This window comes from Homo sapiens, chromosome 3 (genome assembly GCF_000001405.40).
Source record: "Homo sapiens chromosome 3, GRCh38.p14 Primary Assembly".
NCBI lineage: Eukaryota > Metazoa > Chordata > Mammalia > Primates > Hominidae > Homo > Homo sapiens.
In genome coordinates this window covers 48,139,908-48,156,933 of record NC_000003.12, presented here as the reverse complement: position 1 = coordinate 48,156,933, position 17,026 = coordinate 48,139,908, and the positions used below count along the sequence as shown (strand labels likewise).

General features: G+C 48.4%; 1 annotated feature.

The window, feature by feature from the left end:
- Positions 8,414 to 8,603: a silencer, noted in NCBI's record as "fragment chr3:48189821-48190010 (GRCh37/hg19 assembly coordinates)". NCBI's record gives its function as "represses an EF-1alpha promoter that drives an FKBP-Casp9 reporter gene in an ReSE screen in K562 erythroleukemia cells {active_cell/tissue: K562}" and the evidence as "EXISTENCE:reporter gene assay evidence [ECO:0000049][PMID:32094911]".

The following is a 17,026-nucleotide window of genomic DNA, read 5'->3' as shown; positions in this document are numbered from 1 at the left end:
TTGAGGCCAGGAGGTCAAGGCTGCAGTGCCCACACATAATGTGATGCTGGGGGCTACTGGGGACAAAATATATTGGGCTGAAGCACAGAGGGACGCCCAGAATAGAAAACACATGGTCCTTTAGGTATGGGTTGGAAAACCAGGGGTTCAGGCATATTTGATTATATTATATATACATATATTTTTCTGAGACAGTCTCACTGTTGCCCAGGCTGGAGTTGCAGTGGTGTGATCTCGGCTTACTCCAGCTTCGACCTTCCAGGCTCAAGCAATCCTCCCACCTCAGCCTCCCAAAGTGCTGGGATTACAGATGTGAGCCACCATGCTTTTTAAAGTTTACTTTGAGCAAGTAATATTTCCCTGGATTGCTGCAAAGGTCAGCTGGCTTCCTGTCTGATCTATCCTTCCTAAAATTGCAAATTAAGTCAACCCATTATTGAGAATTTAATTTTTTTTTTTTTTTTGCCTGTAAAATGAAACGACCTCTTTAGCCCGTATGCTAAGATGCAACCTCATCCTTAGCCTCTGCTCATTTTATGCTTCACTGAGAGGTCAGGATTCTGTTTCTAGAATGCCCCTGCTCTCTGAAACTTGCTTGTTAGAGCTTGAAGCCTGCCATGCAGAAAGTTTGCATTTACTATAGAAAAATTTATGTGTGGACACCCACAAGGTCAAGAGTTGGTTAACTCAAAACCATGGGCAAAACTTAACTCACTTTAAATTTTGGGGAAAACTATTCCATCCAAGGTGTGATCTGATTCAGATTTTAAAAATTTAAAGTATGCAAAGATGTACAAAAAATCAACACTTATATTTCACACACCAGCTTAAGAATGAACAGCTTAGCTGAAGCCCCTTGCCTACCCTGACTTCATCATAAACTCTTCAGCTGCACCCAACCCCCATAAAGGTAACACTTATCCTTCCCTGGTATGACTATTTCCTAAGCAAGAAGATAGATTCAGATTTTTTTTCCTTTTTTTTTTTTTTTTTTTGACATGGAGTTTCACTCTTATTGCCCAGGCTAGAGTGCAATGGTGCAATCTCGGCTCACCACAATCTCCGCCTCCTGGGTTCAAGTGATTCTCCTGCCTCAGCCTCCCGAGTAGCTGGGATTACAGGCATGTGCCACCACACCCAGCTAATTTTATATTTTTAGTAGAGACGGGGTTTCTCCATGTTGGTCAGGCTGGTCTTGAACTCCTGACCTCAGGTGATCCCCCTGCCTTGGCCTCCCAAAGTGCTGGGATTACGGGCATGTGCCACCACACCCAGCTAATTTTATATTTTTAGTAGAGACGGGGTTTCTCCATGTTGGTCAGGCTGGTCTTGAACTCCTGACCTCAGGTGATCCCCCTGCCTTGGCCTCCCAAAGTGCTAGGATTACAGGTGTAAGCCACTGCGCCAGGCCTCATGTTTTCAAACTTTACAAATTGTGCACCTATAATCCCAGCTACTTGGGAGGCTAAGGCATGAGGATTGCTTGAGCCCAGGAGTTCAAAACCTGCCTGGGCAATATAGTGAGACCCCATCTCTAAAACAAAACAATCTCCATTATGTGCTCATTCATCCGTGACTCACTTTGATTTTTATTTCTCTGCTTATCACACTTAAGGGCACTTGGCTCCAAGAAGGGCAAAGCATGAATCAATAGTGACTCAGGCTACATCTCTCCAGCAGAGAAACCTGGAGTAAGTCACTTCTCCCTCTGGGGCCTTTCTTCACAAATAACAAATGCATTTGAACTAGATTTTCCGGCCAGGTGCAGTGGCTCATGGCTGTAATGCCTGCACTTTGGGAGGCTAAGGTGGGTGGATAGTTTGAGCCCAGCAGTTCTTGACCAGCCTGAGCAACATGCCAAAACCCTGTAACTACTAAAAATACGAAAAATTAGCCAGGTATGGTGGTGCATGCCTATTGTCCCAGATACTCAGGAGGCTGAGGTGGGAGGATTACCCAAGCCCAGGGAAGTCAAGGCTGCAGTGAGCCAAGATTGTTCCACTGCACCCCAGCCTGGGTGACAGGAGTGAGACCCTGTCTCAAAAAAAAAAAAAATTAAAAAAAAAAAGAATTAGATAAGTAGATGTTCTCTGTGACTGCCCCTGTCCCAACATACCGTGGCTCTGGCATTTGGATGGCCCCTTTGCATATGGCCCCTTTGCAATACCCACTTCAAATCTACTTGGAAGGGCCTCTATGGAGGAAAAGCTGTTTCTCTCATTCAATAAACGTTTGACTTGTGCTGAGCACTGAGGATAAGGAAGTGTGTAAGATGCAGGCTTTGTCTCAAGGCGTTCACTGGCTAGTGGGAGAAATAGTCACTAAAAATGACGAGGTCTTAGGTGTAACGTTTCCATGTAACAGAAGCTAGGATAGAGAGGGGTCCAGAGGACATGGGGCTCCAGAGCAAGCAGTGGACCCCATAGGAGGCGATGTTCAAATCTAACCTTCAGCAGGAGTCTCACGAGACAGGGTGTTCCAGGAAAAAGAAATTGTGTTCAAAGGGGAAATACCATGCATTCATACCTGTGAACAAGGTAGGAGAGGTTTGTGGTGGGCGGGGGGGGGGGGACCCTGAACGCCATTCTGAGGAGTCTGTAAGCCTAGGGATCTATGAGAGCAGGACTTCTCAAACACGTGGGAAACTTGTTAAAACGCAGATTCTGATTCCACAGCTCTGGGTCGCAGCCTGAGGTTCTGCATTTTTAACAGACTCTCAAAGCTGCTGATCCTTTTGCTACCCTTTGAGCAGCCAGCCTGTAGAGGGTTTAAGAAGGGAGCAGTGTGAAGCCGTGTAATTGCTGAGAGCAAGACAAAGGATGGATGATAGGTAAGGAATGATGATAATTATAGTCATAGCAGAAGCTGGGGCATGGGAGGGAAGGGCTTTAGGTGCTGGGATCTGGTGATGGATGGGTAGATGGGAGTGAGGGAGAGGGATGGATTCAGGATGGTCTCTTGGCTCCTGACCTGAGGGAGTGGCTGGACCACTGGTACTCAGAGCAAGAAATCAAGAAATACATGGCCAGGCACGGTGGCTCATGCCTGTAATCCCAACACTTTGGGAGGCCGAGGCAAGTGGATCACCTGAGGTCAGGAGTTCAAGACTAGCCTGACCAACATTGTGAAACCCCGTCTCTACTAAATACAAAAAATTAGCTGGGTGTGGTGGTGCATACCTGTAATCCCAGCTACTTGGGAGGCTGAGGCAGGAGAATTGCTTGAACCTGGGAGGCGGAGGTTGCAGTGAACTGAGAATGCGCCGTTGCACTCCAGCCTGGGCAACAAGAGTGAAACTCTGTCTCAAAAAAAAAGAAATACACAAGGAAAGGAAATATTGAAAAAGCCTAAGTTGAAATTTATAAAATTACTGGCCTGCATATTTTATAAATATCAGTGTCATACATGACCAAAGAGAGGCCCAGGAACCGTTCCAGATTAAAGGAGACTCAAGAGACATGACAACTAAATGAAATGTGTGATCTTGGATGGGATCCTGGACCAAACCGAAAAAGAGTACTATAAAGGACATTTTTGGAACATTTGACTACATTGAAATATGAACTTTAATTAGGTAAAATTATTATTATTATTATTATTTTGAGACACAGACTCGCTCTGTTGGCCAGGCTGGACTGCAGTGGCACGATCTTGGCTCACTGCAACCTCCGCCTCCTGTGCTCAAGCCATTCTCCTCCCTCAGCCCCCTGAGTAGCTGGGACTACAGGTACCCGCCACCACACCCAGCTAATTTTTAAATTTTTAGTAGAGATGGGGGTTTCACCATCTTGGTCAGGCTGGTCTCGAACTCCTGACCTCGTGATCCACCCACCTCGGCCTCCCAAAGTGCTGGGATTACAGGCATGAGCTACTGTGACCCACCAGGTAAAATTAGTAACTCAGTGTTAAGTTTCCTGAATTTGATAATTATACTGCAGTTATGTATGAGAACATCCTTGTTCTAAGGAAATAATACACTGAAATATTACAGGTTAAGTGTGTGTGTGTGTGTGTGTGTAAGAGAGAGAAGTAGACAGAGTCAAAGGGAAGAAAGCAAATGCAGCAAAATTTGAAAACGTTAAAATGTATGACTCTTGGCAAAGGGCATAAGGGAATTCTTTGTACTATTCTTGCAACTTTTCTGTAAGCTTTAAATTATTTCAAAAGAAAACATTTTAAAAGGGGGCTGGGCCGGGTGCAGTGGCTCATGCCTGTAATCCCAGCACTTTGGGAGGCCAGCGTGGGTGGATCACTTGAGGCCACGAGTTTGAGACCAGCCTGGGCAACATAGAAAGACGTCTTCTCTATAAAAATAAAAATTGAAATAAGTAAATTAAATAAAAAAGAGGGGCTGTCATGCTGAGCTCCTATGTGGACGGGGGGATCTGGGCAGTGACTGTCCCGATGCCTGAGTGGTCAAGTGTTGAATGTGAGGAGTGCTCCAGAGAAATATCCAGGCTGGTGACAGCAAGTTGTCACACGTATCCAAGTGGCAGTTCTACCAATGTAGAAGACAGGGAAGCAGAGAGAGAGGTTAGAGGCAGGATGCCAGGAAGCCAGGCAGGGAGGGGTAGGGAGCAGCCACAAGGAGGTCTCAGTGATAGGGTTAAGCTCGGCTGCCTGTGGTGGGACATATGTCACTGGTGACCTTGGGACACAAAGCCTGCCCACGCTAGGGTAGGGTAGGGGAAGGACAGGGAGGCGAGGCAGAAACAGCAGCAGGGGAAGACTGGGTGGCATTGGGCATGGCATTGGGCGTGCTCAGCCTCTGTGTGACTGTGACCTGGCAGCTGGGATGGGGGTGGATTACCTAGATGATTCTAAGACCTTAAGATCTTGGTCATTCTGATTTCTAAGCAATGACTCCTGGAAGTTGTGCAAAGCCCAGTCCAGAGTTCCTGCTTGCACGCTCCCAGAACAGAGGAGGCAGAGTCCCTTCCAGTGCTGGCCAGAGCAGGACAGCTCTTCCGCAGGCAAAGTCAAATCCGCACCTCCATACTGTGGCTACTTTGTATATGTTGATTCATTTTCCATTTATGTTTTCTGTTTAGTTTTTCAATATGGATGTCTTTCTTCAATATGAAGTATTTCAGACATACCCACTGTCTGGGAGTACCCACCGTCAAGGGTAAATAAAAACTTCCACCGATAGGCTTTCTTTGCCCTCTTGTTTCACTCTGCTGCCAGGCTGCCACGGGGCTTGGGGCTGTGACCACTGCAATGGCCATAGGAAGACATCAGGTGGCAGTGGTGCCCCAGGTTTGTCTCCTCAGGTATCTCGGCCTTCTAGCTCCTCTCCTCCAGAGCCAGTCAGTAACTGGGAGGAGCTGGGGGCTCTCCAGGAGCTTCCCACCCCTTCCCCTGCCCTGGCTTCCAGCTGCATTTAATGGCACTTTGCCTGCTCTGAGTACAGGAAAAGCTGTGGCTGTTCCTTGTCCAAGCCGCAGTTCCCAATGGCCTAGTTCAAGCATGTGTTTCATGCACCACAGTGCAAGGGCTCCCAAAGGGGAAAAAAGGGAAGAGGGCTGGTTTGGATTATTAGCATTTTGTATTTTTAATAAATGCATCAATGTGGTCATCATGGAAAAATGTCCGATCTTTGTGGGGTTTATTTACACTTCCTTCCTAGTTTACTTTGGGTGACGCAGGGTGGATCATAGGCCTTAACCTTCTAAAGCACAGCCTCTTTCCCCTGGCGGCTTCCTAGACTCTGATGAAGAAATAAGGCCTACTTTCTGATTCCGGTCTGCCCCTGACCAGTGGTGTGACACTGAGCAGAACACTTCACTTCTCTGGACCAGAGGTCTCAAGTATAAAGGATGAGCTTGGGCAACCTCCCCATCCTCCCCCAAGGACTCCTCACTATTCCTGTTCTTTGGGACCTCCTTACCTTTGCTGACACCTGCAGGGAATGCCTTTCTTTTTCCACAGAACTCTTTTTTCTTTTTTGGAGACAGAGTCTCACTCTTGTTGCCCAGGCTGGAGTGCAGTAGCAGGATCTCGGCTCACCACAACCTCCGCCTCCCAGGTTCAAGCGATGCTCCTGCCTCAGCCTCCTGAGTAGCTGGGATTATAGGCACCTGCCACCACTCCTGGCTAATTTTTGTATTTTTCGTAGAGACAGGGGTTTCACCATGTTGTCCAGGCTGGTCTCAAACTCCTGACCTCAGGTGATCCGCCTGCCTCAGCCTCCCAAAGTGCTGGGATTACAGGCATGAGCCACTGCTCCCAGCCTTCCACAGACTTATTCTTTTTAGGAGGGTTGGGGATGGGGAATAGGGTTTCGCTCTGAGTAGCTGGGACTATAGATGCACACCATCACACCCAGCTAATGTTTTTTTAAAATTTTTTTTGTAGAGACAAAGATCTCCCTATGTTGCCCAGACAGGTCTCAATCTCCTGGCCTCAAGTGATCCTCCCACCTCAGCCTCCCAAAGTGCCGAGATTATAGGAATGAGCCAATGCATCTGCCCTCTGATTCATTCTTGTAAACATAAATAATATAATTGTCCGGCTGGGTGCAGTGGCTCACACCTGTAATCCCGGCACTTTGGGAGGCCTAGGTGAATGGATCGCTTGAGCTCAGGAGTTCAAGACCAGCCTAGGCAACATGGCGAAAACCTGTCTCTACAAAAAAATACAAAAAATTAGCCAGGTGTGGTGGTGTGTGCCTGTAGTCCCAGTTACTCCAGAGGCTGAGGTGAGAGGATTGCTTGAGTCTGGGAGGTGGAGGTGGCAGAGAGCCGAGATTGTGCCACTGTACTACAACCTGGGTGACAGAGTGAGACCCAGTCTCGAAAATAAAAATAAAAATAAAAATAAATAAATAGGCCGGGTGCGGTGGCTCATGCCTATAATCCCAGCACTTGGGAGACCTGAGGTCAGGAGTTCGACACCAGCCTGGCCAACATAGCGAAACCCTGTCACCACTAAAAATACAAAAATTTAGCAGGGCATGCTGGCAGGTGCCTATAATCCCAGCTACTTGGGAGGCTGAGAAGGAGAATCACTTGACCCAGGAGGCGGAGGTTGCAGTGAGCGGAGTTCGCACCACGGCACTCCAGCCTAGGCAACAGAGCAAGACTCCATCTCAAAAATAAAAATAAAAATAGACCGGACGTGGTGGCTCATGCCTGTAATCCTAGCACTTTAGGAGGCCGAGGTGGGCGGATCGCCTGAGGTCAGGAGTTCGAGACCAGCCTCGCCAACATGGCAAAACCCTGTCTCCACTAAAAATACAAAAATTTAGCCAGGCGTGATGGCAGGCGCCTGTAATCCCAGCTACTCGGGAGGCTGAGGTAGGAGAATTGCTTGAACCTGGGAGGGGCAGGTTGCAGTGAGCTGAGATTGCGCCATTGCACTCCAGCCTGGGCGACAAGAGCAACACTTTGTCTCAAAAAACAAAACAAAACAAAAAAAGCCTGGCCAACACAACGAAACCCTTTCTCTACTAAAAATACAAAAACTAGCCAGGCGTGGTGGCAGGGGCCTGTAATCCCAGCTACTTGGAAGGCTGAGGCAGGAGAATCACTTGAACCTGGGAAGCAGAGGTTGCAGTGAGCTGAGATCGCGCCACTGCACTCCAGCTTGGGCGACAGAGTGAGATTCCGTATGGAAAAAAGGAATGTAAAACTCGATGGGATAAACTACAGTTTAGAATTAGATCCAACTGGGCCAGGCACGGTGGCTCACACCTGTAATCCTAGCACTTTGGGAGGCCGAGACGGGCGGATCACCTGAGGTCGGGAGTTTGAGACCAACCTGACCAACATGGAGAATCCCTGTCTCTACTAAAAATACAAAAATTAGCCGGGTTTGGTGGCACGTGCCTGTAATCCCAGCTACTCAGGAGGCTGAGGCAGGAGAATTGCTTGAACCTGGGAGGCAGAGGTTGTGGTGAGCCAAGATCACACCACTGCACTCCAGCCTGGGCAACAGGAGTGAAACTCCATCTCAAAAAAAAAAAAAAAAAAAAAAAGAATTATTAAATCCAACTGGAGAGAGAGCTAATATGCTGGAGAAATGTGGTGTTAGAAGATTATTTGGAATGGAATGAGATACATACTTATGACACTTAGGAAACCATGAAATAGGTGGAAAGAGACAGAACATCCTGAGAAAATCTAACTATATCAAATTTGAGTCCCAGAAGGAAAGAAAAGAAAGAATAGGAGAAAGGCAATTTTTGTTTTTGTTTTTGTTTTTCTGAGACGGAGTCTCACTCTATTGCCCAGGCTGGAGTGCAGTGGCACGGTCTTGGCTCACTACAACCTCCACCTCCAGGGTTCAAGCCATTCTCCTGCCTCAGCCTCCCAAGTAGCTGGGATTACAGGCACGTGCCACCAAACCCGGCTAATTTTTGTATTTTTAGTAGAGACAGGGTTTTACCTTGTTGGCCAGGCTGGTCTTGAACTCCTGACTTCGGGTGATCCGCCTTCCTCAGCCTCCCAAAGTGCTGGGATTACAGGTGTGAGCTACCATGCCCGGCCAAGAAAGGCATTTTTTTCTTTCTTTCTTTTTTTTTTTTAGATGGAGTCTCACTCCGTCACCCAGCTCCATGGAGTGCAGTGGCACTATCTCAGCTCAACCTCTTCCTCCCGGATTCAAGCTATTCTCCTGCCTCAGCCTTCCGAGTAGCTGGGATTACAGGCATGCGCCACCATGCCCAGCTAATTTTTGTATTTTTAGTAAAGACGGGGTTTCACTATGTTGGCTAGGATGGTCTCAATCTCTTGACTGCATGATCTGCCTGCCTCAGCCTCCCAAAGTACTGGGATTACAGGCGTGAGCCACCGCACCTGGCAAGAAAGGAACTTTTTAAAGAAAGAATACCTGATGAACACCTTAAATCCCCAAAATCAAGAAATCCCATGAATCCCAAGCAGAGTAAATAAGAAATCCACATTTGGGTATGTAACGAGGACAGAATACCAAAGACACAGGATACCAAAGTGCATGCTGAATAGAAAGCCAGAGGACCAACACAGAGACAACACGTAGCTGCTGCTCAGCAGCAACAGTGGAAGACTACGGCAACATGGAAATACTGCAAGCCTCGCTGTACTCTCACCCTTCCTAATCCCATGTCCTCTGAAAAGATAGCCCCTATTAAGTTAGGGGTGTACCTTCTAGACCTTTTCTATGCATGTATAAATATACATAATGTATATGGATATGGATGTGTGCATCTATATTTATGTTTATTATTATTATTATTTTTTTTTGAGACAGAGTCTGACTCTGTCGCCCAGGCTGGAGTGCAGTGGCGTGATCTTGGCTCGCTGCAAGCTCAGCCTCCCGGGTTCACGCCATTCTCCTGCCTCAGCCTCTCCAAGTAGCTGGGACTACAGGCACCCGCCACCACGCCTGGCTAATTTTTTGTATTTTTAGTAGAGATGGGGTTTCATCGTGATCTCAATCTCCTGACCTCGTGATCCGCCCGCCTCGGCCTCTCAAAGTGCTGGGATTACAAGCGTGAGCCACAGTGCCCGGTCTATTATTTTTTTTTTTTTTTAGAGATGGAGTCTCACTATGTTGCCCAGGCTGGTCTCAAATTCCCAGACTTAAGACACCCCTCTGCCTTAGCCTCCCTAATAGCTGGGACTACAGGCACACCCTAGGGTGTCCTGGCCTTTATCTATATTTAGGTATTGGTATGGTTTGAATTCTTGTCCCCTCTGAAACTCATGAGATTTAATTGACATGAAGCCTTTAGGAGGTGATTAGGTCATGATGACTCTGCCTTCATGAATGGATTAATGCTCTTATCATGGGAGTGGGTTAGTTATCTCGAGACTGGGTTTGTTCTCAAAGCGAGTTTAGCTGATTTCTTCTGTCTTCTGCACTTGCTTCCATCTTCTGCCATTCTCCCATGAGATGACCATCTCCAAGGTGCTGGCGCCATGCTCTTAACCTTCCCAGCCTCAGGAGGTGTAAGAAATAAATTTCTTTTCTTTCTTTCTTTCTTTCTTTCTTTTTTTTTTTTTTTTGAGACATAGTCTCGCTCTGTCACCCAGGCTGGAGTGCAGTGGCGCGATCTCAGCTCACCGCAACCTCTGCCTCCCGGGTTCACGCCATTCTCCTGCCTCGGCCTCCTGAGGAGCTGAGGCTGCCACCACACCCGGCTAATCTGTTGTATTTTTAGTAGAGATGGGGTTTCACCATGTTAGCCAGGATGGCCTCGATCTCCTGACCTCATGATCTGCCCGCCTCAGCCTCTCAAAGTGCTGGGAACAGGCATGAGCCACCGCGCCTGGCCAATAAATTTCTTTTCTTTATAGTCTTGGCTGGGCACAGTGGCTCACGCCTGTAATCCCAGCACTTTGGGAGGTCGAGGTGAGTGGATCACCTGAGGTCAGGAGTTCGAGACCAGCCTGGCCAATATGGCAAAACCCCCATCTCTACTGAAAAAAAAAAAAAAAAAAAAAGGCCAGGTGGCGGCTCACACCTGTAATCCCAGCACTTTGGGAGGCCGAGGCTGGCGGATCACCTGAGGTCAGGAGTTCAAGACCAGCTTGGCCAGCATGGTGAAACCCCATCTCTACTAAAAATACAACAATTAGCCGGACGTGGTGGCGGGCACCTGTAATCCCAGCTACTGGGGAGGCTGAGACAGGAGAATCCCTTGAACCTGGGAGGCGGAGGTTGCAGTGAGCCGAGATCGTGCCATTGCACTCCAGCCTGAGCAACAAAAAGCGAAATCCCATCTAAAAAAAAAATGGCAAAACCCCATCTCTAGTAAAAATACAAAAATTAGCCAGGTATGGTGGCAGGCGCCTGTAATCCCAGCTACTTGGGAAGCTAAGGCAGGAGAATCACTTGAACCCGGAGGGGGTGGGTGGAGTGAGCCAAGATCACACCATTGCACTCCAGCCTGGGCGACAGAGTGAGACTCCATCTCAAAAAAAAAAAAAATTACAGTCTCATGCTTGAGGGGATGGGCACTCTATTCCCCATGATGCACTTATTTCACATTGCATGCCTGTATCAAAACACTTCATGTACCTTGTAAATATATACACCTACTATGTACCCACAAAAAAATTGAAAATTTAAATAAATAAATAAATAAATTATAGTCTCAGCTGGGTGTGGTGGCTCACACCTGTAATCCCAGTGCTTTGGGAGGCTGAGGCAGGACGATTGCTTGAGCCCAGGATTTCAAGAGCAGCCTGAGCAACATAGTGAGACCCCTGTCTCTATTTTAAATAAATGTAAATAAATTACAGTCTCATGTATTCTGTTATAGCAGCATAAAACATATGTTAGAGGCCGGGCGCGGTGGCCTACGCCTGTAATCCCAGCACTTTGGGAGGCCAAAGCAGGTGGATCACGAGGTCAGGAGATTGAGACCATGCTGGCTAACACAGTGAAATCCCATCTCTCCTAAAAGTACAAAAAATTAGCTGGGCGTGGTGGCGGGCACCTGTAGTCCCAGCTACTCAGAGGCTGAGGCAGGAGAATGGCATGAACCCGGGAGGCAGAGCTTGCAGTGACCTTAGATCACTCCACTGCACTCCAGCCTGGGCTACAGAGCGAGACTCCATCTCAAAGAAAAAAGAAAAAAAAAAAACATATGTTAGAATAACTTAGATATATTTGAATAATACAGTTGTCCCTTGGTATCTGTGGGGAGTTGGTTCCAGGACCCCCACTGATATCAAAATCCAAAGACGCTCAAATCGCTTATATAAATGGCATGATATGGCCAGGCACGGTGGCTCACACCTGTAATCCTAGCTCTTTGGGAGGCCAAGGCAGGAGAATCACTTGAGGCCAAGAGTTCAAGACCAGTCTGGGCAATATGGCGAAACCCTGTCTCTGCTAAAAATACAAAAAATTAGCTGGGTGTGGTGGTACACACCTGTAGTTAAACAATTTTCACCTGTTCTCTTTATTGCAGGGTTTCTCAGAGCGCTTGGCCTGCCAGCATGCATCATGAATTTCAAGAGACGACAGAGCATTTTCCAAACCTATTTGCCCATGGAGACTTTTCTCCATGGAGTATCTCATTGGACTTAAGTTCCTGAGGACTAACTTTGGGGATGCTGTTTTCTCTTCTATGTGGCCATTTTCATTTGATTCTCACAGGATGGAATTCACCCTCATTTTATGGATGCAAACACTCATACTCATGGAGGTGGGTGAGTTGCTTCCGGTACTCAGTTAACAAACAGCAGAGACGGAAGTAGATGTTTGGGCTTCAGGTTCTAAGGCCAGACTCTTTGTTTTTCTTTTCTTTCTTTCTTTCTTTCTTTCTTTTTTTTTTTTTTTTTTGAGACTCACTCTGTCACCCAGGCTGGAGTGCAGTGGTGCAATCTCGGCTCACTGCAACCTCCACCTCCCAGGTTCAAGCGATTTTCCTGCCTCAGCCTCCTGCGTAGCTAGGATTACAGGGATGCGCCACCATGCCCGGCTAATTTTGTATTTTTAGTAGAGATGGGGTTTCTCCATGTTGGTCAGGCTGGTCTCGAACTCCTGACCTCAGGTGATTTGACCTCCTCGGCCTCCCAAAGTGCTGGGATTACAGGCGTGAGCCACCGCGTCTGGTGGCCTAGACTCTTTCTTGACTTTCTCCCACTTTCAAGTCACCTTCTCAAGAGATGGGCTGCTGAGCTTGCTTCTCAGGGAGGTGGAGAGTAGGCTGACTGGTGGGAAGTTGGAAGGGGAAATTTCAGGAAGCCACCGAGCGCGAGCTTCAGAGTTAGTGATAGGGACAGAGCTCTGTGTTGGACTTTCCAGGCCTTAGCCTGGTAACTCCTGCTGCCACCAAACATGAAGCCTCTGCTCTGGCCCCACCTACCTCACTGACAAGCCCTGCCTCTGGCTGCAGAATGGTGAGTGAGACAGGGAAATTGTGGGATAGGTGGAGTTTCCAGGAATACTGGGGTGAGGAAACACCCCCAGGCCTGAGCCCCGATGGAAAGAGCCCCACAGGAGTGGGTCTGGAGGGAAGAAAATCCTTGAAGGCCTGAGCCATTGTCTCCTTTCTGCAGGACACTGGGTCCACCCCACCAAGGAACTCAGTGGTCCCTGAACAAATGGGAGATTATTTTCAGGGTCCTTTATAGCATTCTTTGGCTATTTTTGTCTTCTCTTTTTGTTAAAAGTACATTCACACAGGACATTTCCTTCCTCTAACACAAAGCAGCACAGAATGGTGGGAAGGGTGCTGGCTTGGCATCGGCCGCCTTGCAGAGCACTGGGACAGGTTGCTCACCTCTGGCCTTCAGTTCCAAATTTGGGCTTCAATTTACTGAGTCCAGAAGCAATCTCTTGGTGACACCAACATTAAATTTCTTCTTCTTTCTTTCTTTTTTTTTTTTTGAGACGGAGTTTTGCTCTTGTCACCCAGGCTGGAGTGCAGTGGTGCGGTCTCAGTTCACTGTAACCTCTGCCTCCCAGATTCAAGCGATTCTTCTTGCCTCAGCCTCCCGAGTAGCTGGAATTACAGCCATGGGCCACCACGCCCAGCTAATTTTTGTATTTTTAGTAGAGACTAAAGGTGATCCACCCTCCTCGTCCTCCCAAAATGCTGGGATTACAGGCATGAGCCACCGCGCCGGCCCAACATTGAATTTCTATGAGACTTAATTTCTGGCTGGGCGCAGTGGCTTACACTTGTAATCCCAGCACTTTGGGAGGCCGAGGCAGGTGGATCACTTGAGGCCAGGAGCTCGAGACCAGTCTGGCCAACATGGCGAAACCCTGTCTCTACTAAAAAATACAAAAATTAGCTAGGCGTGGTGCTGGGCGCCTGAAATCCCAGCTACTCAGGAGGCTGAGGCAGGAGAATCGCTTAAACGCCGGAGGTGGAGGTTGCAGTGAGTCGAGATGGTGCCACTGCACTCCAGCCTGGGCGATGGAGTGAGACTGTCAAAAAAAAGAAAGAAAGAAAGAAAGACTTAATGTACTAATTTATGGCAGGAAGACCCTGCTTTCCCTCTCCTTCCTGACCTCATGATGGGTCCTGAACCAATAGTTGAGAATAAAGGAAGAGATTGGGGCCACTTGATCTAAGTTTGATGAGTGAGAGAAATTGTTCCCACATCTGGGCAGAGGGCACCTCCTGGGTACTCAGGTTCTTGGGCATCATGTCTCTCCCTCGATCCAGCTGGCCATGCACAGGCATTTTTGTTCTCCTGAGCCCTGGTTCTAGATGGGTTAATGCTGTGATTCAGCTGCAGTCTAGTCTCAGCGCTCCTGAGCTTGGGAGACACCCTGTCTCTCCCCTGCTCCCCACCCCACGCCTATGCTGCACCTCGAGGGCAAGGGTAGCAGGGCCGATGGAAGCTGAGGCACCTCACCTGCCTGGCATTTGCCAGTGCCCAAACAGCTGGGTGTGCAGGAGGAAGAATGAGGAGCCTTGGCAGCTGCCAAGCTACCCAGCGGGGGAGGGAAGGTGGCCAGGTGCGGCTGAAACAGGGTGCGGTGACTGGTCTGGGAGCTCCGAGGCCTGCCCAGACATCTGGCTGGGTCAGGAGGGCCAGGTGTGCTAAGAAGTGTGGGCTGCCCCAAAGCACAGGCTACTGAGCACCTCATGAGTGTAAGATTTGGTGAGCGCCTGAGCGGAGGAGGGGATGGGTGGATGGAAACTTCAGATTCATTATCTGTAAAGTGTGGATAAATAGCAGGGTGGTTTGAAAATTAAATGACTTAGACCAGCCTGTCCAATATGGTGAAACCCCATCTCTACTAAACATATAAAAATAAGCTGGGCGTGGTGGCATATTCCTGTAATCCCAGCTACTTGGGAGGCTGAGGCAGAAGAATCGGTTGAACCCGGGAGGCGGAGGTTGCAGTGAGCTGAGATCGTGCCACTGCACTCCAGCCTGGGCGACAAAGCGAGACTCTGTCTGGAAGGAAGGAAGGAAGGAAGGAAGGAAGGAAGGAAGGAAGGAAAGGAAATTAAATGACTTAATACATATAGGGTACGTAGCACAGTTCCAGTAAGTTCTCAAAAGTCCCAGGTATGATTATGATGAGTCCAGCACATAGGGTTGGGCAGGTTCAGTGTCTGATTCATCTGTTATCCTCTGTGTAACTACAAAAACAACAGACAAAATCAAGACAGCAGCAAAAGTCATCTCCCTCGAGTCCTCGTGAAACCCTATGAGGCAGATACCATTATTGAGCCCATTTTCCAGATGGACAGACAGGCATGGTGAGGCCACCATAATCAGCTAAGGCTAAGCCATGAAGCAGCTGTCCCCACAGAGGGCCTGCCCCATACTCTGGCTGAGGCGAAGGTCGTTCCTCCACCCTCTCCCACTGCCCACCACCCGGTCAGAGAAGCCTGCTGAGGCAGATGAGGAAACAAGGAACCAAGAGGTGACAGGCAGAGCCAGGAGCAGGTATTCTTCCCTCTGAGTGGCCTCTCCAAGCAGCCTCCACCAGACCCTGCCCTCATTCCTGAGCTCATCTCCCACTCTACCCCTCCACTTCTCCCTCTCTTCCTAGTTGGGTCATCTAGGCCTCTTGCCCTCCAGGAAGTCTTCCCTCAGCAGCCTGCCTGTCGGGGGAGTGCTCTATGGAGCACTCTCACCCTGGGTATCACTATGGAAGTGAGTGAATGGAGCCCCTTCCTTTTCCACATGATTTTGGTGAACCACAGACAGCCTGGGAGATACTCCCCAAAGGTGCTGGCCAAAGCCAAGAGACAACTAAAATAACTATTAATATTTACAGAAAACTTCATCCAACAGTTTTTTTGTTTTTTTCATATGGGGTGTCACACTGTTGCCCAGGCTGGCGTGCAGTGGCATGATCTCACTGCAGCCTCAACTTCCCCAAACTCAGGCAATCCTCCCACCTCAGCCTCCCACAGTGCTGGCCAGGAGATCACTTGAGCTCAGGAATTTGAGACCAGTCTGGGCAACATAGTGCAAACCCATCTCTACAAAAAATACAAAAAATTAACCAGGCATTGTGGCTCATGCCTGTAGTCCCAGCTACCAGGGAGGCTGAGGTGGGAGGATCACCCAAGCCTGGGAGGTGGAGGCTGCAGTGAGCCAAGATCACGCCACTGCACTACAGCATGGGTGACAGAGTGAGAGCCTGTCTCAATAGTAATAATAAATAAATAACTAAATAACTAATTAAATAAATATATAAATAAAATAAAGCTCCAACTTGCTTCTTCCCAAGTGAGGGTGTCCTCACCCTCAAAGGAGCTGGTAGGGCTGTGCTGGGGTCGTGTTCCCTGCTCGCAGAGAGCTTGCACTGCAGAAAGACCATAGCTCTGTGTCCCTGTCTGTGAAATACACACTTTATTGTGATGTAGAGCAAATGCTTGTAAAGCTCTGGACACAGAGTTGTCGCTCCATGCACGGCTTTATTTCTCAGCACAAATGCTAATTTCCCTTCCAAATGCAAAGCTTCTCAACCTCTCAAGCAGTTTAGATTGTCTGAAGGTCACAGCAAGGTCTCATGTTCCGTTTTGCCCACTGGCCTTTCCTGCCTCACTTCCTGCCTCCCTGTTCGTCCTCGGGTCCAGGCAAACTTCTCAGCGTTCCTCAACAATTTGCCTGTTCACAGCTGTGTGTCCCTGAACATGCTGCTCCCTCCGGTGAAACACCTGTCCCTCCCCTTCTTTGCACAACAAACTCCTGCCAATCTTTTTCTCTCAGTTCAATCCTCCTCCAAAGCTTCTTCCGACTCCCCTGGGCAGTGTTAATTATTCCTTCCTCTGCTCTCTAGGGGTTTGTCCATATGATTATTTTTTTTTAATTTTTAAATTTTAATTAAAAGAAAAAAAGATGAGCCAGACGTGGTGTCTAATACCTGTAATCCCAGCACTTTGGGAGGCTGAGGTGGGCGGATCACGAGGTCAGGAGATCGAGACCATCCTGGCTAACACGGTGAAACCCTGGCTTTACTAAAAATACAAAAAATTAGCCGGGCGTGGTGGCAGCCACCTGTAGTCCCAGCTACTCAGGAGGCTGAGGCAGGAGAATGGCGTGAACCCGGGAGGCGGAGCTTGCAGTGAGCCGAGACCACACCACTGTGCTCCAGCCTGGGTGACAGA